The sequence below is a fragment of the Homo sapiens genome, chromosome 8 (genome assembly GCF_000001405.40).
Source record: "Homo sapiens chromosome 8, GRCh38.p14 Primary Assembly".
NCBI lineage: Eukaryota > Metazoa > Chordata > Mammalia > Primates > Hominidae > Homo > Homo sapiens.
The window spans coordinates 95,425,021-95,448,355 of record NC_000008.11 but is presented as its reverse complement, the minus strand read 5'-3'; the positions used below and the strand labels follow the sequence as shown (position 1 = coordinate 95,448,355).

The 23,335-nt window shown below is 42.6% G+C and overlaps 1 long non-coding RNA gene across 9 annotated transcripts in view, besides 1 other annotated feature; it reads right to left on the bottom strand.

The window, feature by feature from the left end:
• CFAP418-AS1 (CFAP418 antisense RNA 1) overlaps positions 1-23,335 on the bottom strand; it is a 541,308-nt gene that overhangs the window by 361,788 nt on the left and 156,185 nt on the right. For 3 of the 9 annotated variants that reach the window (NR_038201.1, NR_038202.1, NR_038207.1), the window contains one exon: positions 15,576-15,730. The exons of the other annotated variants lie outside the window; for them this stretch is intronic. This is a non-coding gene — a long non-coding RNA (CFAP418 antisense RNA 1). The remainder of the gene's footprint in view (positions 1-15,575; positions 15,731-23,335) is intronic. 9 annotated transcript variants of the gene reach the window in all.
• Positions 17,310-17,841: an enhancer, noted in NCBI's record as "NANOG hESC enhancer chr8:96442743-96443274 (GRCh37/hg19 assembly coordinates)". NCBI's record gives its function as "activates a minimal SCP1, AML or CMV promoter by ChIP-STARR-seq in primed H9 embryonic stem cells {active_cell/tissue: H9 hESC(primed)}" and the evidence as "EXISTENCE:reporter gene assay evidence [ECO:0000049][PMID:30033119]".

Genomic DNA, 23,335 nt, shown 5'->3' with positions numbered 1-23,335 from the left:
TAGTGTCTCAGTAACTTTTTCATGGTTCCCTAGGCTGAAGGAAATGCCTAACAGTTTTACTTATTAATGGAATTAAACAATTCCATGTATTAATATTTGAATTTGTTTGGTCCTGGAGTAGGCTGGAGGAGACAGGATAGAAGTTAAAATTCTTGGAGCAGAGGTGGGGATGGTTAATGGGTGCAAAAAAGACAGGGAGGGGTCATCAAGACAACAAGGGGATGTTGGGACATGTTGATTCTGAGGATCCAGTGGAGTTGACAATATCCTGTAGAAAGTTGTGTGTCCCTCTCTAAAGTTCAGGGGGAGACTTGGTCTGAAGGTGAAGCTATAGGTGTGTGAGATTGCTCCTGGAGGACTACAAAGTGAGAAAGGAGGATGACTGTAATAGGCTGTCCTTGCATTGCTATATGGAAATACCTGAGATTGAGTAATTTATAAACAAAAGAGGTTTGATTGGCTCTCAGTTCTGCAGGCCATACAGGAAGCATGGCACCAGGGAGCTGCCCAGCTTCTGGTGAGGCCTCAGAAAGCTTACAATCATGGCAAAAGGTAAAGTGGGGGCCAACATATCACATGGCAAGAGGCAGAACAAGAGAGACAGAAGGGGGACATCCCAGACTTTTAAACAACCAGATCTCGCATAAAATAACTATGCAAGAACCTGGCCGGGCACGGTGGCTCACGCCTGTAATCGTGGCACTTTGGGAGGCCGAGGCAGGCGGATCACCTGAGGTCAGGAGTTCAAGACCAGCCTGGCCAACATGGTGAAACCCCGTCTCTACTAAAAACACAAAAATTATTGAGGCATGTTGGCAGGCACCTGTAATCCCAGCTACTCAAGAGGCTGAGGCGAGAGAATCACTTGAACCCGGGAGATGGAGGTCACGGTGAGCCAAGATCACACCATTGCACTCCAGCCTGGGTGACAAGAGCAAGATTCCATCTCTAAATAAATAAATAAATAAATAAATAAATAAGTGCAAGAATTCACTTATCACAAACGGATGGTGCTAAACCATTCATGAGAAACCCACCTCCATGATCCAATCACCTCCCACCAGGCCCCACCTCCAACACTGAAGGTTATAATTCAACATGAAATTTAGAGGGGACAATATCCAAACTATATCAATGACCAAGGACAAAACCTGGAGAAATCATTTATCCACTCAATAATTCCTTTTCTTGATAAAGGCAGGGCTCACGGGAAGGGAGGACCTATTGAAATACCCTGGGCTAATCCAGCCCTCCTGCCTCCTGACTTCTGAGAGCAGAAGAGGGCAGAGGGTGAGGGGCTGGGAAAGTTCACTAACAGGTTACATGGTCAGAGAAGGAAAGGAGAACCAGAGAAGAATGGTGCCAAAGAAAGTAAAGGAAAAGATGGTATCACAAAAAGGTGAACAGTTTCTAGTGACAGAGAGAGAGCAAGTAAGATTAAGACCGAAAAGGGTCTTCAGGGTTGGCAAATAGTGAATGTAGTCAAGGTGGATTTGGTGCAGAGATGAGGGCAGAAGGAAAAGATGGAGAGGAGCAGCCTCTATTGTGGAGGGAAATGGCTAGAAGAAGAGCAGATGATATCAACATGGCATGGGGAATAGGCAGAAAGTACATCCTGAATGGAGAAAAGGACTTTACCTGAAAGCAGAGCTTTAAATCATGCTGCTATAAAGACACATGCACACGTATGTTTATTGCGGCACTATTCACAATAGCAAAGACTTGGAACCAACCCAAATGTCCAACAATGATAGACTGGATTAAGAAAATGTGGCACATATACACCATGGAATACTATGCAGCCATGAAAATGATGAGTTCATGTCCTTTGCAGGGACATAGATGAAATTGGAAATCATCATTCTCAGTAAACTATCGCAAGGACAAAAAACCTAACACCACATGTTCTCACTCATAGGTGGGAATTGAACAATGAGAACACATGGACACAGGAAGGGGAACATCACACTCTGGGGACTGTTGTGGGGTGGGGGGAGCAGGGAGGGATAGCATTAGGAGATATACCTAATGCTAAATGACGAGTTAATGGGTGCAGCACACCAGCATGGCACATGTATACATATGTAACTAACCTACACATTGTGCACATGTACCCTAAAACTTAAAGTATAATAATAATAATAAAAAAAAAGAAAAACAGGCCTGCAGTCCCTTATCCAAAACCTTGGAGCCAGATGTGTTTCTGGATTCAGAATTTTTCAGATTTTAGAGAAGTTAATAATGGAACACATACAGTCAATACATAACACCTGGAAAGCACTCCATAATGAAACACACATATTTCTACAAAGAAATATATGGATATTAACAGCAAGTATAACAAATACCTGCACATCAACTTAAGTTTTTGTTACCAAATGGGACAGGAAAAACTTTCAGCTCTCAATGCATTTCTTTATTTCAAAATTGGAGGTAAGAAACTGGGTTTGTAGCAGCAAAACGCTAAGCACAGATCTCTAACAGGTTTCTACTGAGCAGATGGTGAAAAGAACATTCACAGAGAAGATTAAGATCAAGGACCAAGCATCCTTGTCCTCTTTCAGGACAGAACAGAACTTTTAGGAGAAGGAACAGCAGAGTAAAGGAGGACGGGAGAAGCCCTGGACAGTATGAGGAGAAAAGGACTCTGAGTAGAGGCTTTCCTTCTGGGGCAAGGGCTGAGATTCCAAGGATGTGGGGTCACAGTTGAATCGACTATGGCTTGAGCAGATTGAGTCCCCAGAAGTGTCAGAAGGATAATGAGATTAAGACTGTATCCTGGCCAGGACCAGTGGCTCACACCTGTAATCCCAGCACTTTGGGAGGCCAAGGCGGGTGGATCATGAGGTTAGGAGTTCAAGACCAGCCTGGCCAAGATGGTGAAACCCCGTCTCTACTAAAAATACAAAATTAGCCAGGCATGGTGGCGGGTATCTGTAATCCCAGCTACTCAAGAGGCTGAGGGAAGGAACTGCTTGAACCCAGGAGGCAGAAATTGAGTGAGCCAAGATCCCGCCACTGCATTCCAGCCTGGGCAACAGAGCAAAACTCCGTCTCCAAAACAAAAAAAAAAAAAACAAAAAAACAGCATCCTTTCTTACTTTCTAAATGGGAAGCTGCTGAGAAGCTCTTCTGGAGTCTTCTGAACAGAAGTCCTACCAAAGCAGTGAGGGGTTGAGGAAGGCTTTCCAAATGCACCCTCTCTGTGGAATCACAGCTTCTAGGGATGGTCGGGGGCATGAGGCTTCATGTGGACAGTACAGAACCTCTACCACCATGCTGAGAGAAAAATCTTATCTCACACACATAACACCCAAGGCTTGGAACCCTGAAATTTAGGTGACTGCAGTCTCAGAGTCCTGCTATCCCTTTCCCGGGGAACCTGTATGTAGAAAAAGGATTCCTAAGTCTCCTGCCTTCCTCTCTAAAGAAGGTTATTCCTGAGAAGCAGAAGGTAATGTTTTTTGTTTGTTTGTTTGTTTGTTTGTTTGTTTGTTTTTGAGACGGAGTCTCACTCTGTCACCCAGGCTGGAGTGCAGTGGCGCAATCTCGGCTCACTGCAACATCCGCCTCCTGGGTTCAAGTGATTCTTCTGCCTCAGCCTCCCGAGTAGATGGGACTACAGGCATGCACCACCACACCCAGCTAATTTTTTTATTTTTAGTAGAGACAGGGTTTCACCATGTTAGCCAGGATGGTCTTGATCTCTTGACCTTGTGATCCTCCTGCCTCGGCCTCCCAAAGTGCTGGGATTACAGGTGTGAGCCACTGCGCCTGGCTGGAAATGCTCTTAATGTACTTGGAACATCACAGACAAAAGGAATGCCTTAAAGTAGACATGTAATTTGACAGGCCTCTGGAATGTCTTTTTTGTTCCACACATCCTAGGTTTAACAGTAGTTATAGAGATTACATTTGGCTTGGTCTAATAATACTGAATACACCCCTATCAGGCTTGAAAGACTCTTCAGCCTCAGCCAAAGTTTTTTCTTTAATACTCACGTACAATGAACTCCAGTGACAGTAAGTTCCTGGCCACAGAGGCATGACAGGAGGAGAGGTGAGAGATCATGGATACCAGAGGATTTTTGCAAGTGTTTGAAGGCAGAACCAGACCCCCAAGTACTGTCATTCCTGCCCTGTGCACTTCAGCAGAGTGGCAGAGATTACCAAAACATCACATTAAACCATTCAGCTCCCTTTCAAAAAAGTCACGGATGGAGCGAGGGGAACACCAGGCTACAGTGTGGGGCTGTCAGGACGCCGCAGGCCTGCGGTCCCCAGGGAAAGCAGCGGGTTTAGGAACACCTGAGAGCAGGCGTGTGAGCTGGTGTTTAAGCAGTTCCAACATATCATCAAAAGCTTCAGCCAAGTTAATGAGAACCAGAGCTCCAAACCAAAATGCTTATTTTGAAAATACCTATTTTTCAAAGATTTTGCATTTTAAATTAAACCAGATGAGTAATTGTATCCTAGCTTCGGAGTACATTCTGGAAAAGAAAATTCTTGTCCCCTAACTTGGGAAAGAACATCATGATTTTGCAAAAGGAAAGCAGTTATTGAGAAGGGGTTAGAGCCTGGGGCTGCCCAAGCCCAGGCTACAGCAGCTGCCAGGTGACCGTGGCCACACAGAGAAGCAAAGGTTCTTGTGAAGTTGCCAGACTGCTACTTCTCCCTCCCCCAGAAAGCCAAGTTCACCTTGCAGGCTGACCTACCTCCACCTTGCTTCTATAGAAGGTGAGAACTTGTCTTAAGTTAGTGTATTTAAGGCATTTGAAATTCATGGAGTGAAAAGAATGGTGTTAAAGTGCAGACATTGTTTGATAGCTCCTAAATGGGACAGATCTGTTTTATCGGAGTAAGAAGGTATTTGTTATTTATCTCTTTTTATTTTTCCTTTATTTAGTTTGTGCTTGTTTGTTTTGTTTTGTCCTGGCGGTTATCTAATCTTTCTGATTTTTATTTCCAGGATTCATATATTGCTCTACACAGGTATTTCCAGAAAACCTGTCTGAGGTTTAACTAACAATAGGCCCACAGACTACAAATTTTCACAGACCTAATGCTATTGCTCCTCCTTCTTTAACTCGGTGACATTGTTCCCAGAACTATTTAGTTCTATAATCAATACTTTCTTGTCTTTAAAATCAATTAAGGGGCCTTTAATAAAACTTGCCTATTCTGAAAAGGGCATTTACATACCCCCTTACCCAATTAAACCGTTAAATAAGGTGAAGATGGGAGGATACAGAGAAAGAACACAAGGAAACAGATGAGAAGTAGAGGGGTTCAACAAGGTCAAGCAGGGAGTTGTGAGTTCAAATCCTCCTTCTGCCACTGGACCATGTGGCCACTTGCCAACCCTGTGAATAGAAATTAATATGTACGGAGCTTGACCATGCACCAGGCCCTCCCCTCAGGCATCCTCTCATCTAATTTTCACACATAAAACCCATTTTCTTTTTTTTTTTTCTTCAACTTTTAAGTTCAGGGGTGCATGTGCAGGATGTGCAGGATTGTTACCTAGGTAAACGTGTGCCATGGTGCTTTGCTGCATAGATCATCCCATCACCTAGGTATTAAGCCCAGCATGCACTAGATATTCTTCCTGATGCTCTCCCTCCTCCCCCCACAGGCCCCAGTGTGTGATGTTCCCCCCATGTGTCCATGTGTTCTCATTGTTCAGCTCCCACTTATAAGTGAGAACATGCAGTGTTTGAAAACTCATTTTCATGACAAGGAAATTGAGACACCAAGAAGCTAATTTGACTTGACCAATGTCTCAGAACTAGAAAGTGGAAGAATAGGGACTCAAACCAGGTCTGTTAAACTCCAAAGCCTCTTAAGACTCAAATTGGCAAAGTGAAAATTCTGACAAACTAGGCCCCAGAATTAAAGAAATGGTTGGAGTTAATTGATTTGTAGCCAGCAGTGATAGGAGAGAAGGAGCAGGGCATCTGTTTGTAAATTCAGTCTTCTCCCCTTACTAGTGATATGACCTTGGATGAGCTATTTAAACTGTGCTTCAGTTTCCTCAATTGAAAAATGAAACTAATAAAAATTGCACCTCTTAGTCTCATTGTCAAGATTATCCGAGAAAATCTATTCCACAGAATCTCAGTAAATGTTGCTTGGTTAAGGAAGTTACTCAAAAGGAAGCATAACATAGCATCTAAGTGCATGCCCTCTGACTCATTCTACCAGGTCCAAACCCCAGCTTTCCCAGATAGCATCAACTTGAGCTAGTCTCTTTGGCTCTTGGTAAAATGAAGGCAATAACAGGATTGTTGTGAAAACTCATGGAAGGTCTTAAAACAGTACCTGACATATAGTAAGTATAATATGAATGTTACTATAATTATGGTCAATATGAGTGAAAGTAATAGATTCCTTCAGCATGCTAAGCAGTTGTACCATCACATGCTTGGAGAAGTGGAAGAACACAGGATTGCTGCAGAAATAAAAAAGAAGTTTAGTCTATAGTTTTTACTAAACAGCTCAAGCTAAAAACTTAATACTTGGAGATATAACTATATAGTTATGATTCAGTGGTTGTCAATAGTAAATTATTTATGAAATAGATCAAAGACACTGATTTGATTTTTCTACACATATTGTGTTCCAGGTACTATGCTTGGACTGAAAATGCAAAAATGAATGAGGCAGATTCCTGACTTTGAGAAGCATATTGTCTATGGGTGAAACAGGCATGAAAACAAATCACCCTAATATAGGTACTAAACGCTACATCGAGGTTAAGAGTAAAGTGCTAAGGAAACATGACATCAGATGGTTTTATGTTACTTGGTGATATAACCATGAACACGGATTATCACCTTCTCACTATAAACCACAAAGCAAGACTATCTGAGATCCTTGTTGGTGAGTGAGACACCAACTTCCGTATAACTTGTTCCCCAAACATCAAATAGTCAAACAAATTCTAAGTCAATTTGAGGGGGTGGTTCCTGGCTAATTTAAAGCCTGAACTAAACAAATGCATGTCTCCTAAATACCCATACCAGGCATTAATCGGCCAGAGTTCCAGAAGTTTCAAGCTATGATGACAAAGACGTATACTTGGGGTGGGCAAGGAAAGAGCAGGCAAGAACCCCAACAGGGGGGCCTAGATATACTTTCAGAGCTAGCAGGAAATGATTATCAAAGCAACCAAACTGTAGGTATTCTGGCAAAATTATGGTGGTGATGGTAACTAAACGACATCTCTAATTGCACCATCAACCCCAGAAGTATAGCAAGACTGAACTGGGCTCACAGCTGGGAGAAAGTAGCCATGATGTGCTGGGTTCAGTTCAAGATTATAAATGGCAGCACCCAACAGAGGCAGCAACACATGATCCTTCCAAGTTGGTGAGAACCAGCCAGGCGCCCAAAGGGTCTCCATCTTCAGGAAGTAGAGCATTTGGTACAGGACAGTTTGTGATACTTCTTTTGAGCAATTTGCTTGCTGGTGACCTCTACACTTATTGGTCATGCTGCATATAGGGAGAAACTTCCTAGAGAAATTACCCCAAACCCCTAAATATGAGGTCAAAATGACCAACCCAGGACAACTGTGAAGGCTACTCTATTTCAGAGAGAAATTAGGACTGGCCAGGCCAGTATGAAAAGGATCAGCAGGGAAGGGGCTATGGAGGCTATGAGGTCTAGGTCTCCTGGGCCATTCCTCAGGGTTCCCTAGAGTTCCCCTTGACCTCAGCTTAGCATTTAGTGTTTTCACCCTGAAGAGTCAACTGTTGCACACCTTTCCCCTCAAAAGACTATAAGCAAGAACAATGTCATTTTCCTTTATATATTCCAGATCATTTGGCATAGAAAGGTAGCACGGTAGAGAGGAAAGAACAGTATGGAACTGAGCCCTGGCATTGAGCCCTACTCTGTCGGATAGCACAGTGGTTGAAACTAGTCTATGGAGCCAGGTTGTCTAAATTCACATCCTCCCTCTTCTTATTGACTATATGATCTTGGGCAAGTTGTTAGTCACTTTGCACCTCAGGTTTTGCACATGTCAACTGAGAATAATAATGCTCTGAGAATTAAGTGAATGTAAGCACTTACAGTAGTATTACTACTATGGTAGATCATATTATTAGTGTCCACAGCTTAACAAACTAGTACATGTTAATTTGCCCCCTAAGCTTTAATTTTCTCATCTGAAAAAAATGAGGGCATAAGATCCAATCTCACAGGATGGGATATAGGATAAAATTGGATAATGGAAGTCAGAAATATGTTGAACGAAAAATGCAATCCGAATGCTTGTGTTTCCCATTATTGTTGCACATAGTAGGCACTGGAATCAGTGATTGCTAAAATGTGGAAGCAAAACAGCCATGGAGAGATTGGATCAGATCCCCTCAAGATTCACCATCCTCAGATCTTGCACAGGAAAGTTATTTGTAAATGTGAATGCCAGACAAGTGTTCCTCGTTAGCTATGTATGGCCCTGGAGACCAAGACTGCCATGTGGTAAGATCAAATGAAGAGACAGTCCCTGCCAAGTGCGGTTCTGAGAACATCCCCTTCATGTGCCTGAGAAATGACTCCCCCGGAGGCCTCCTGCACTGCACTGGGCCCTGGCTCCCATCTTGCCCACCTCCATGAAGACCCCTGCCCTCCCTCCAGCAATCCTCCAGTCTTCCCATTCCTAGTTGGCAAGGAAGACAGAGCTCAGCACATTCCACACTCCATCCCCCTAGATCCACCCCAATGGTGTGATTCTGCCTGACTGCCCCACACAGCAGCTCTAGGAGGGTCAAAAAGGAATGTGCTCAACTTGCCAATGCTGGGGCAAAACCAAAGCCAGCATGTCCTGTCATCCAATGGAGCTTAGTGCTCTCGTCATCACCACTACAGAGACACAAAGCAGGCCCTGGGAAGAGCCTGCACCTTCCCCAGAGCCAAGGTGACCAGAAAATCACATGATGTCGTAGGTTCTCCTGCAAAAGCTGGGCCACCAACACTGGAGCCCTGGAAAGCCCTTTCCGAGTGGACGCCTGGCAAATGAGAGGGAAGAAAGGGAACTGGCAGAAAAATAGCATATGCCACTGATGTTCCCTGGCTCCACCTAAACCTTAAAAATGACTCATTTAAACTCAAATTTGTGGTAAGCTAAAATAATGACAATGAATTGGAAGGCATTCCTTCTCTAGATTTGGAGTGCCTAGAAAATTTTTGTAAAGAGATTTTGAGCAAGGACTTGGCCTCTCTGAGCTGTGTCATCTGTATAATGGGGATTAAAATACTGATTGTGCATGGGTTCTATAAAGAGAATGTACAAAAGGAAGCTGGTACATAGGATGCTTGACTATTAATAAGCCAAGTAGTTTCACCCAGTTCACAGTAGATCTTGATTACTTTTCCTTAGATGCGAGGCTCTTTCATGCAATTACCCCAAATAGCTGAAGGCTATTTGCCTGCAACTGTGCTCATGGCACACCCCAGAGCTGACATTCCCAAGACTCTTTCTGCTGGTGCCTCCATTGGTCTAACCAATTTTTACAGGTGCATTTGGAAATTGATAAATCCGTGGTGATGAACGTGCTGTTCACAGCACTATGGTCTCATAGTTATTCAAAAACATTGATTCACTCTGTTCCTAACATGGAGTCCTTTAGCCCTTTTTATTTTTCATAAGTAGGATTATGGCCCTTAATTCAAATTCATACTCATTCAATCATTCATTCACTCATTTACTCAACAAATACTTATTAGGTGCCTACTATGTGTCTGGCACTATGCTAGGAACAAGAGATGGAGTAGTGATCAAAGCCAGAGACAATTCTTGTTTTGTAGTCCAGTACATGCATTCTCCATGGGGGTAATATTGCCCCAATGGGGAAAACAAATTCTTGGGGTGGTAGAAAAAACTTTATTCTATTCATACATAAAACACAGATATGTATAGAGCACACACACACACACACACACACACACACACACACACACAGAATTGTATTAGTTTTCTATTGCTGCTGTAACAAGTTACCATAAACTCAGTGGCTTAAAATAACAGAAATAATTATCTTACAGTCCTACAAGCTGTGTCACTGGGCTGAAATCAGGATGTTGGCAGGGCTGCATTCCTTCTGCAGAATCTAGGGGAGAATCTACTTCCACAGCTTTTCCAGTTTCTAGAGGCTGCTGGCATTCCTTGGCTGATAGTACCTTCCTTCATCCTCAAAGCGAACAATAGTCAGTCAAGTCTTTCTAACACTGCATCGCTCTGACACTGGCTCTCTCGCCTCCTTTTTCCACTTATAAGGGCCCTTGTGTTTACACTGGGCCCACCCAGATAATTGTCTCTCATAGAAGGAAGGTACTATCAGCCAAGGAATGCCAGCAGCCTCTAGGAGCTGGAAAAGGCGTGGAAACAGATTCTCCCCTAGGTTCTGCAGAAGGAATGCAGCCCTGCCAACATCCTGATTTCAGCCCAGTGACACAGCTCCTAAAACTGTAAGATAATTATTTCTGTTTTTTTAAGCCACTGAGTTTATGGTAACTTGTTACAGCAGCAATAGAAAACTAATACAACTCTGTGTGTGTGTTTGTGCTCTATGCATATCTGTGTTTTATATATGAAGAGAATAAAGTTTTTTCCACCACCCTGAGAATTTATTTTTCCCATTAGGGGCAATATTACCCCCATGGAGAATGCATGTACTGGACTACAAAACAAGAATTGTCTCTGGCTTTGATCACTACTCCATCTCTTGTTCCTAGCATAGTGCCTGACACATCGTATCTCATCTCAAGGTCATCTGATTAGCAACCTGAATGCCATCTGAAGCCTCAATTCCCTCCTTGCCATGTAATGTAAGATATTCACAGGTTCCAGGGTGCAGGATGTGAATATCTTGGGGAGGGGAGCATTATTCTGTACGCTACAGTGTAGTTGTGGTAGTAAAATTTCATGGGAGATAAGTAAAACATATCTAAACAAAGGTTCTTTGGCCTCAAGAGCTGGGTGGGAGGGAGGGCAAACATGAAGCAAACATTGAGAAACACTGATGTAGTAGCAAGGCAACACAGAATCATGATGAAATATGTGCACCGTGGGGTCAGCCGGCCTGGCTCAAATCCCAAATCTGTGATTACTAGCTGTGTGGCCGTGAGCTAGTTACCTAAGCCCTCAGGGAGGGTAGAAATAGGAAATATTTTCTCCATTTTTGTAAAAACCAAGTATGTTAATATACTGGCACACTTAGAAACTTCTAGGTTTGCAATTAGTCCTCCAGACATGTTTCCAGTATTGTTAGTGGAAACAACAAGATTCTTCAAATCACAGAAATAAATGTGTCGGCTCAAGTGACAATAAATGCTAAAAAGCAGAAAAATGCTCTTGCAGTATTGTGAGAGTAGAGAACAAGGGGATCTCATGGGGGTGGGAGGGTACAGAAGAGTTTTCTAAGGAAGTGATCTCAAAACCGAGATTTGAAGCATAGGTGGGCATTAAGCCAGTGAAGAACAAGGGGTAGGGCATCGTGGAGTGCTCCCAAGGTAGAAGGAACAGCACGAGGGTGTCTTTGGGGCAGGAGGGATGTGGCACAAGGTCACATGGCTGGCAGGCCAGCGTGGTTGCCCTACAGAGGGCAGATCAGGCTGGAGAGCTGGATGGGGCCAGATCATAAGGGCTTGGGCCATGTTAAGAATTTTTGCCTTTATTCTAACGGCAACAGGAAGCCACCGATGGATTTGAAGTAGATGAGGGTGGTGTGAGTGACATGGTGCAGACTGATTGGACAGAGACAATAGTGGATGCAGAGAGACCAATTAGGAGGTGATAGCGATGGGACCAGGGTGGGGAGAAGATGAAGACAAAGGAGCAATATGAGAGATATGTAAGAGGTAGAATCAATAGAACTTGTTGAGAGCAGCAGAAAGGAGAGGGTTGTAGATGCACACACCTTGTTTTTAATGCCCCTTGTGCCTGTCCACATGTGTTCATCAATGCCTGAAGCCACCCCCACAAGCTTGGGGGTGTCCCGTTCAGGGAGATGTCCTGCCAAAACATCTGATTGGTCCTGCTCAGATGTGTGGTGATTTCTCAGCACTCTGTGCACCATTCCGTATCCTGGGTATAAAATAAACTTTAAATTGGATACAGCTTTAACAAAAAGTGATGCTGGCAACAGATCTTCTTTTAAGGCCTCTGTTTACTATAGAGTGTTTTAAGCATGATGTTTTAATTTCAAATTTTTTTAAATATGTATTTTGTGAGAAATAAACAGAGATGACTTAACTGGAAATTGAACTGGGGGTCTCCTGGCCCTTGGCCCATGTTTCTACCCAGGGACCAACTGTCTGCTGAAGTATAAATCCATCTACCCAAGCTGCTGTATGACCAGTGTGAGCTGTGTTTATGTTCCTCTTAAAAACGCATGCACTTCTTGGCTGGAGGGCTCATGGGCCAGAGCATTGATCTATTAGACCTTCTGCTCCAAGAAAACCTAATTCAATTCCTGGCATAATTACTGAAGACAAAATTGTAGCTGCACATATTTTCCCAAAAGTTCTCTGCATTTGCTTACTCCAAGTCCAAGGTTTTCATGCCTCTCCTTGACCTGGCAGGGCCACAGTTTACAAATCAACAGCTCTGGGTTCCTTGAACCATTTGCCAAGGCAATGGTTAGGAGAGAAATTTACTGGGAAGGATGAAGACTAGCAGAAGCTAAACTGTGAAAAGAAATAAATAATGATTAGGGTGGAAGAGGGGAAAGGAGAGGAAAGGAGGGATGTCACAGCTTCCGTTACTTTAGAAACACTAAAGTGAAGAGACTTGAATTTTACTCCACCTATGTCACTGATTACGTGTGTAATCTTTGGCAATTCAGCTCCATTCAGTTCAACAAACAGTGAGTGAATGAGTGAGTGAATGAATGAATTCATTGGACATGTCCTATAAGCCAAACACTGTGTTAGGCACTGGAAGATGTCTAGGGCAAAGTGCATACCCGTGGGGGGCTTACAAATGAGACACAGACACAAATACTTAAACAGGAACACAATAAAATGTCATAACCAATAAGGCATAAATATGCCCAAAGGCTAAGGAAAAGATTAATCCCAACCTGGGGTGTAAGGAAGACTTCTTTGCAGCAAACATACTTGTGTTTATGTTAGAACATGGGCAAGATTTAACTAGGCAAATAAAGATGTGACAAAGCACTGCAAGTTAGCCATGAAAGGACACTGAGCAGCTCACAGAATTGTCACAAAGGCTGAGGAATTATAATGGCCAGTTATCCTTCTTTGGGATGCTCAGCGTCTGAACTTCATTCCTTTGTTTAGAGAATTTTTCTCCTTTTGAAGCTTGGTAGAATTCCTACTGTAGAAGGTGTACAACCCTGAGACTTCCCTTTCTTCTATACAGTTAGGTAGGCATGTGACTTAGGTTTGGACAATCAGATAGATACACATGCCAAAAGCATTAAATCAGGAGCCAATGGTACAACGAAACACAGACCACAAAAAGTCATTTCTGGCACCGTCAGCCGTCATCCCAAGGTCTTGTTCCCAGAGACTGTGATGCCAAAGGAGCCAGGGGCAGCACCCAGGTCCCAGTGTCAGAGTGTGGACAGTGCTGGCCACAACATTGGGGGCTGCAGTGGTGTGAACTCAATAGACCTGTTCCAGAGCATGATTTGAGCTATGATTTCAGCTGGCTAGCCTCCGACCTAGTTCTTCAGCTTTAGTGGCACTTCTGTAAGCTGCCCAATGTCCCTTTAATAAATTTCTTTCAAGCCTAAGTTAACCAGGGTTCGTTTCATTTGCTTGCAACCAAAACATCTGACTGATACAGGAACAATGTGAGCAAAACTTCAAATGTAAGTGAAGTTTGGTGGTGTGGATATATGTTGGGGGTACCACGTGCAGCTCAATGTTAACAGAACATAAAGAATGAGATGAAAAAGATTTTCTAAAATCAGGCTAGAGAGACAGAGGTTATGTCACAGCACAGCTGGCATACTGGGCTAAAAAACTTGAAACTCATCTGAAAGGTGATGGGTACTCACTGAAGGTATAAAGCACAGAAGTGGCATTGACCACATTCATATTTTAGATTGACTGGTCTAACTCCAGTGGGAGGGGCTAGCTAAAGAGAGACTACACCAGAGGCAATTTTGATAGGGTCCAGAGAAAGGTGATGAATACTGACCTAGGGCAGAGGATGTTGGGGGAAAGAGGTGGTGACAGCTCCGAGAAATATTTAGGCAACAAAGCAGGTGACCTTTATATTCACACTGAGATAGGAGAAACCCCTTTGTCATTCCTGGCTCAATTTCTTCATCTTCAAATTAGGAGTGACGTTTAGGTGTCCTACAAGGCATGCAACAATCCACGATTGTGGTTAAGGGAGATGCAGGCACACCAACCTGAAGACAATGGAAATTCTCACTGAGAAAGAAAAGAAACTTCATTATGGGGAAGGGTCAAAACAGGTGAGCCAGCCACTTCAAGTAAGAAAGATGACCCAGGAGGGTTAACATTGAAGGCTATGGACTTGTGAAAGGCACAACATATGGTAAAGATGGACTTGTTTACTGAAATGCATGTTTCTATGATTGAAGCTGGAAAGAGGAGATGTTCTTTTATAAAGGGAGGCATTGCTGTCTACAACAGGTGCACTGCCAGGGTGGACTAACATTTGAAGATCTGATATACTATAAAACACCATCTTCTTTATTAACTGACTTTTTTTTTTCTTTTTTACTATTTACCCAGATGTTTTCCCAACACAGAGACAAGCATTCACAAGCAGACAATTTCTTGAACATTCTCACTAAAATGTATCTTTAATGAGACTACAACATTTCTTAGCAGCACTATACTCTTCTGACCGACTATCTGAAGGGTTGGGTATCAAAACATACAGGATAGGATTATAACTTTTAAGTATGTTTACAGCTAAAATTGACAAGAAGGGTATCCAAGACTAGAAACATGAAAGATGGGCATTGTCAAAGAATCTCAGCTCACCAGTGGTAAACATATGCTTCTGGCCCAAGTGGGATTTGTCTTTGTAGTGCACGAGTTCTTTCTAACCAAAAAGAAAAAACTGTTTGTTTTTCAGTTATTGTGATTGTAGTTTTGTTTGAAACTTTTTTTTTTTTTTTTTTTTTTTGGACACAGAGTCTTGCTCTGTTGCCCAGGCTGGAGTGCAGTGGCGCAATCCTGGCTTACTGCAACCTCCACCTCCTGGGGTCAAGCAATTCTCCCATCTCAGCCTCCTGAGCAGCTAGAACTACAGGCGTGTGCCACCCCACCCAGCTAATTGTGTGTTTTTAGTAGAGATGGGGTTTTACCATGTTGCCCAGGCTGGTCTTGAACCCCTGGCCTCAAATGATCTGCCTGCCTTGGCCTCCAAAGTGTTGGGATTACAGGCGTGAGGCACTGCACCTGGCCTTGTTTTAAAATTTTAAGTGACCAGGAAGCCTTCTTAAAATCATTTCTTTGAAGACTCCAAAATAAAAACACATGTTGTATTATTTTCCACAGTTAATGAGTTTGCTACCTTCCCCTCCAGTGTAATCAAGGGAAATAAGATGACATACCTTCATCTCTTGTGCTAGCAAACTCTTGATCACCTCACCAGGTAGGGCTACTGACTTCCTGAGGAAAGACTCACAGTCCCTTTCCAACCACAGGCAGAAAATGGCTTTCAGAGGACGTGCTTCTAAAAGTCCTGTTGCCATGATTATTTGGCCCACTGAAAAATATGAATTAAAATAAAATTTATAATCACTGTTTATTCCAGTTTACTTTTTCTGTCTTTCAAACCGGTATTTGGTAAGTTTCTGATGGGTAATGTGTGTAATTAAACCTTCTCCATATTCTGAACACACACACAGACACACATACACCCTCCAAATTAGAGCACATGAGAAAAACCAAGTTACAACTTGAGATGGCAGAAAAGAATATTTTCCTCTTTCGTTCAGCTTGAGGTACCCTTGGAAGGTTTTCTGATTTTGCCTTCTGAGCCCTTTTTAAGTCTCCTTAATTTCATGAAGAACACATTCATTTATGAAAAACCATTTTTCAAGCAACTATGCACTGATTCCCAAGCAGCTGAATTTTTAATAGCTAAAAATGTCACCACCACCCTCCCTCCCACAAAAGGGTGCTTATTTTTAAAATCCGCTTTCCTGAAACTTCAGGTTTGTTCCTCTGAGCCACAGCACCTTCTAAGCGTCATTGTACAGCAGAGGTGGTGCGACCCACCCTGGCCGGTACAGTTCTTTTTTTCTCATATTTCTAATAGTTCCCCTAAAACCCTAATTTCAGTAAAGTGTGCTGGGCAGAAAAATGCTAATACTTCAGACAGTCTCGTTCAAGGAGAGACAACTGGGCTGTGGGTGCAGGGGGACAAGATCAACAGCCCTCTAAGCTGTGCAGCAAATCCTGAAGAGCGGGAATCTCCAACAACAAATACTGGGAAACAATTTCTTGCTGTTAACCGGCTCGCCTTTGCCATGAATAATCAATTATTGGGAGGAAGAGAAAGCTACTTTAAAACAGACGTTTTAAAAACATCTGTTTGTTTAGTATAACTTTCCTGCTGCATCTTTCATTCAAGAAATAAGTCTTCCCTGTCTGACAAGGACAAATTCCTCCAACTCCTCCACTGTAAACCACCTCGCCATCCACTTCCATAGAGCCCTTGCAGCCCCTAAATTGGATCCCATGAGAAATAAATAGTGCCGCTGCTGCCATTGACTTATCTCAAACCAGAAAATGAACCCGATTTCAAAAACCTGTTTTCTAAACTCCCGGCGGCTGAGACAGGAAGGGCTTGGGGGAGAAGACGGGACAGCCTGTTTGTACATCCCCTGGCACTGCCTCTTCCTCACCAGCGAAGCTTTCCATGGAAATTCTGGCTGCATTGGCCTTGGCTAAGCTTGGGACTATTTTTGGAAGCCTAAAATCCTCAGGGGAGTGACTTTTACTTTTATTCATGTACAGAGTCCTTACTTTTATTTATTAAAGAAACAAAAACATGTCTCCTGCTTAACTTCAACCAGCTTTCATGTCAAGTAAAACAAAACTTGTTGGCTGGTCCAATCGGCCATCGGCCAGGATGGACAGGGAGCCCCCTCCATCATGGGTCTGAAGTGTATGTGACCTGAGTATTAATCATCTCTCCCAGAATGGGAGGAGCCATGGGCTTTTGAGACTCTTGTCCCAAGGGAACAACTTTGGGGGAGTATCTGAGTCTGGCTGGGAGAGAAAAAGTATCTAGGCAAAATTCCAGCAAAATTGAAGTTTTACTTTTTAAAAGCATTTCAGGCAAGAAAGAGATGGAAGGCTCAGCACTAAACCCCTCCCCCACCCCAGAACTGTGACACTGACATCCCAGCACCTAAAACAATCAGTGGGGAGGATCACGGAGCGAGAATCAACCCTCTCGCCCCCCTAGAGTCTAAGTGTTCACTTTAACAAGTTGTGAAGGGCAGGCAGCCAACTCCTCGGCCTCCATGAGGCAAATTGATTCAAGGTTTTCTCCTTGAGCCTGCAGCCAGGGTGCCTGCAACAATAGCAGCTGGGGAGGTGCTATTGTTTTATCTCAGTGGAGATTTGAAACTTCTTTACCCAGGGCAAGTGGCCCAGCAGGCGTTTACAAATGGGAAAAAGAAACAGCAAGAAATGCAAGCAAAGTGGCATGGAGCACTAAACAAAGCAGCTGTGAGCACCCTCCAGGGAATTTGCTTGGATGGGCATCCCCACGCCACATGTCCGGCTAGCTCTCCGTGACCTCAGCTCTGTCTTATTTTCCTTCTACATCCTCTTCACTGCCCCGCTGCCCCCAGTTACGATTCTAGCTAGGATTCACATCATATCCCAACATATTGGACGATGGCTACAAAGATCTATGCCACATTGGGCAAATTGCATTAGCTTCCCAGGAACTCAGTTTCACCCTGTTAAATGTACGTGTGGCAGAGACCGCTAGCTCTTCACCATAAATCTGTCATATGTTTCATCTTCTTCCCAGGCACACAGCTAGACTCTATCTTTGGTGTCCCTTCCAGTTACACATGGCCATGTAACTGTCATTCCTACCCAGCAGAATATGCACAGAAGTGATGTGAGCCATTTTTCAAGCCAAAAATTTATTGTGCCACCTTTTCCTCTTCCCACCAGTTGCACGTGGATAATGATGAGGACCTGGTTGTCTACATATTAAAGGATGGCAAAGCTGGAAAATATATCCCAGAATGACCCTGTGAAAGAAGCTGCCCTCTAACCCAAAATACCTTCCTTGGACTGTTTCATGAGCAATGGGTAAACATTGATTGGGTTAAGCCACCAAAGTTTTGGGGGCCTATTTATTACTGAAGCCTACTGTCTTAGTCTGTTTTATGTTTCTATAAAGGAATAACTGAAGCTGGATAATTTATTTTTAAAAAGAGATTTATTTTGCTCACGGTTCTGCAGGTTGTACAAGAAGCATGGTGCCAGCATCTGCTTCTGGTGAGGACCTCAGGAAGCTTCCAATCATAGCAGAAGAAGAAGGAGAGCTGGCATATCCCATGACCAGAGAGGGAGGATGAGAGAGAACAAGAGTAGCGGTGCCAGGCTATTTTCAACAACCAGCTCTCACATAAACTAATAGAGAACTCACCCATTTCCATGGGGAAGGCACCAAGCCATTCATGAGTGATCCACCCCCATGACCCAAACACCTCCTACCAAGCCCCACCTCCAACCCTGGGGATCAAATTTCAACATGAGATTAGGAGGAGACAAATATCCAAACTATATTACCTACCCTACCCTGATTATTACAAGGTGATAATAACACCTACCCTGCCTAGCGCAAAAGATGGTGGGAAGAATCAAATAAGATATGTGTGAAGGCTGAGTGCAGTGGCTCACACCTATAATCTCAGCACTTTGGGAGGCCAAGGCGGGTGGATCATGAGGTGAAGAGATCAAGACCATCCTGGCCAACATGGTGAAACCCTGTCTCTACTAAAAATACAAAAAATAAAAAATAAAAATTAGCCAGGCATGGTGGCGGGTGCCTGTAGTCCCAGCTACTCAGGAGGCTGAGGCAGGAGAATCACTTGAACCGGAGGTGGGGGTTGCAGTGAGCTGAGATTGCGCCACTGCCCTCCAGCCTGGCAACAGAGCAAGACTGTCTCAAAAAAAAAAAAAAAAAAAGATATGTGTGAAGACACAAAGTATATATTAAAAATATATTACATCCTTCAAGTCTAGAGCAGAAATAACACCATCTGTGGAACAAGAACCACTCATAAATTAACAGTATTTATTGAGTCCAGTCATCATGCTATTTAAATGTTTTACATGGATTATTTCCTTTAAGCCACATAACAAACTAGAAATACCATTTGACCCGGCCATCCCATTACTGGGTATATACCCAAAGGACTATAAATCATGCTGCTATAAAGACACATGCACACGTATGTTTATTGTGGCACTATTCACAATAGCAAAGACTTGGAACCAACCCAAATGTCCAACAATGATAGACTGGATTAAGAAAATGTGGCACACATACACCATGGAATACTATGCAGCCATAAAAAATGATGAGTTCATGTCCTTTGTAGGGACATGGATGAAATTGGAAATCATCATTCTCACTAAACTATCGCAAGAACAAAAAACCAAACACCGCATAGTCTCACTCATAGGTGGGAATTGAACAATGAGATCACATGGACACAGGAAGGGGAATATCACACTCTGGGGACTGTTGTGGGGTGGGGCGTGGGGAGGGATAGCATTGGGAGATATACCTAATGCTAGATGACGAGTTAGTGGGTGCAGCGCACCAGCATGGCACATGTATACATATGTAACTAACCTGCACATTGTGCACATGTACCCTAAAACTTAAAGCCTAAAAAAAAAAAAAAAAAGCCACATAACAATGTTATAAGATACTATTGTCTTCCCCATTTACCAGATGAGAAAACTAGGGCTTACAGAAGTGAACAACTCACCCAATATGACAAAGCTAGCCCACAGTTGAAGACAGAAAGTCTAGCACCAGAATCAATATTCTTAACCATGAATCTAGAAAGAAACCATAGCTTCAGATAAATGAATAATTGTGACTTTTAATTAAATAAGTGAAACTTTAAAAGCACTTTGCTTCAATTGCCTATTTTTTAAAGCCACTTTGGCCTCCTATTAATCCTCAGGCTGACCTGGTTTTCCCACTTTATTTCAATATATACACACAGTTCCCATCTTTGGTAGCTGGTGTTCTTTTAAGAACATTTCTAACCTAACAAAGTAGACCACCACCTAGCTTCTCATCATAAGCTTGTATGCAGGGTTTGACTAGGTGCATTCTTACATCTCACTCCAGTACATTTTTTTATTCCCTTTAGGAACTCTTTTGTCCCCTTAAATGTATTTAATATAAGCTAAGAGACAAAGACATTCTGTTTAATGAGTGAAAAGGGGCAAGGGCACCTCCCAGGTATTAACTCATTTAAGAAATCTTAAAACAATGTTACCTCATGCTTCCACCATTAGACGGAATCCCAACATAACAATTACTGAAGCCTTGTAATGAGACCACCAAAGGTAAGCAGGCCATTATAAAAATTTAAGAGCTATTGCGCACCATGAGTTTTTACAGTCGGTCAGCTCAGAGTTATTTAGCACATGTTTTTTCCATCCTTGCAGTGCATGGAGAACATTCACAGTGTCCAACATCTCTCAAAACCACATTTCCACCTGTGTGGGGCAGTGGAATTAATAAGCATATAGAATAAGCTCACAAATTTGGATCCTACTCATCTGGAATTCATGATATTTCAGTTACACATATGTGGGCCTAGTCAGACAAAAAGGCTGGCAGGGGTGGAGGTCATTGCATAAAGCTAGAGCAAAATAAAGGCTGGCAGGGTCAAGAGGGGAGAAGAGATTGGTCTGCAGAGCTCAGAAGCTGTTTTAATGATCAAATAAGAATTATATATATAAAGCCACTAATTGTGTGCTGAGATGGAGTTTACCTTTTGATATTCATGAGGGTTTGGGAAAATTAAGCTCATAAATGAAATTGCAGGAGGAATGTTTAACCTGCTTGTAAATAATGCATTTTCTTGCACTTTTCAGAAATACATTCACAAAAGCTATCAGCACACTTTTCTATTCACTAAAGGATGTACATAATACAAAATTTAGAGGCTTCCTGGCATAAAAGTAATAAAATACTGGTGGTTTCTTTAAAAGACAAATACTGTATGATCTCACTTACATGTGGAATCTGAAATAGTCTAACCCACAGAAGCAGGGAGTAGAACAGTGGGTTGCCAGGGCCCTGGGGGCAGGGGAAAGGAGAGGTGATGATCAAAGGGTACAAAGTTTCAGTTATGCAAGATAAATAAGTTCTGGAGATCTACTATGGTGCCTATAGCTAACAAGACTGTATTGTATATTTAAAATTTGCTAAGGGAGTAAACCTAATGTTAACTGTTGTTACCACCAAGATGAATAATTAAATAATAATGACAATAATAAAGAAGGTGGGAGGAAACTTTGGAAGGCGATGGATGTGTTTATGGCCTTGATATGATGGTAGTGATAGTCTCACAGGTGTATACTTCTCCCCAAATTCATGGAGTTGTATACCCTAAATATCCACAGCTTTTTGCATGTCAATCATGCCCCAATAAAGTGGTCTAAAAAATAAAACTAAGGATGTGCAGACTTGTTACACAGGTAAACGTGTGCCATGGTGGTTTGCTGCATAGATCATGCCATCACTCAGGTATCAAGCCCAGCATCCATTAGCTATTCTTCTTTATTCTCTCTCTCCTCCCACCCCCACACTCCTGCAGGCCCCAGTGTGTGTGTTCCCCCTGCACCTCATGTGTCCATGTGTTCTCATCATTCAGCTCCCCCTAAACTACCAGTTTTTAAGATTGAATTCAAATTTGAGGCTTCCAGTGATGCTAATAACCCTCCTACAATCCCTAATATTCCCACATACACATGACCTGCTACTGAGTCGAGTGAGGCGTGGCTCCACTGCAGATGCAGAGGAGACAGGTCCAAGCTCAGACCTAACTGTGGACCCACTAAGGTATGGCCATGCTTGTTGCGCTTGTTTCTTTTGTTTAAAGAACAAAACTCCTGTGAAAAATAAATAATATGAAACTGGGCTTCTAAACCACACTTGATTAACCATTCTGGGGCTTGGTCTCCATTTTTCCCCACATGCCTGCTTCCTCCAGCCAATTCAGACCTCCCCTAAGGTAATGAGCATAAGGCAATCTTGATGGAGTCAGCTCCATTTTGATGCTGTTAGAAAGATAAAAAGTGCAAATAGTCCTACAGAGACAAATAAGCCTGCTCCATTTACCTCTGTGAGGACATCAAAATACATCATTTCCTCCTAATAAATAAAACACTAGTATGGTATGACAAATACCTTCTTCTTACACATGGGCTATATACTTGGCAGAACAAAAGTTAAAAGAAATCCAAACTCTGTTTAACTGTTTATTGAATCTTTTTTCTTTATTCCAGAAAGAAAAGCTATAATCACCTTAGGCTCCCAGGGCAGTCTCAGGACCCTTACAAGTTGCTCTGTCTGTCCCATTTTTCCCAACCATTTTCTGGCTACTGATGAGAAGAAAAGCACAAATAACCTAAACTGGATTCCTAAGGGGAAGTACCTTCTTTTATTCCGATTATTCTCTTTACCAAGCATTCAGAAAATACAAATTATAAGGAAAAGAATGAAAATCGCCTACAATCTTACAGCCCAGAGATAGCATTTTAGCATACATCCTTTTAGACATTTCCAAACATATATATATATATAAATATGTAAATAGTTTGGAAATTTTATATATATATATATATATATATATATATATATATATATATATATATATATATATATATAAAATTTTAAAATGTTTACCAAGATGGCATGACACTATCTTTAGATGCTTTATAGTCTGTCTTATTTTTTTCCCACTTAAAAAACATATGTCCGGGCACAGTGGCTCACGCCTGTCATCCCAGAACTTTGGGAGGCCGAGGCAGGCAGATCACCTGAGGTCAGGAGTTTGAGACCAGCCTGTCCAACATGGCGAAGCCCCGTCTCTACTAAAAATACAAAATTTAGCCAGGCGTGGTGGTGAGTGCCTGTAATGCCAGCTACTCGGGAGGCTGAGGCAGGAGAATCACTTGAACCCAGGAGGCAGAGGTTGCAATGACCCGAGCTCGCACCACTGCACTCCAGCCTGGGTGACAGAGTGAGACTCTGTCTCAAAACAAAACAAAACAAAAACATATGATAGGGGAGGAGAAA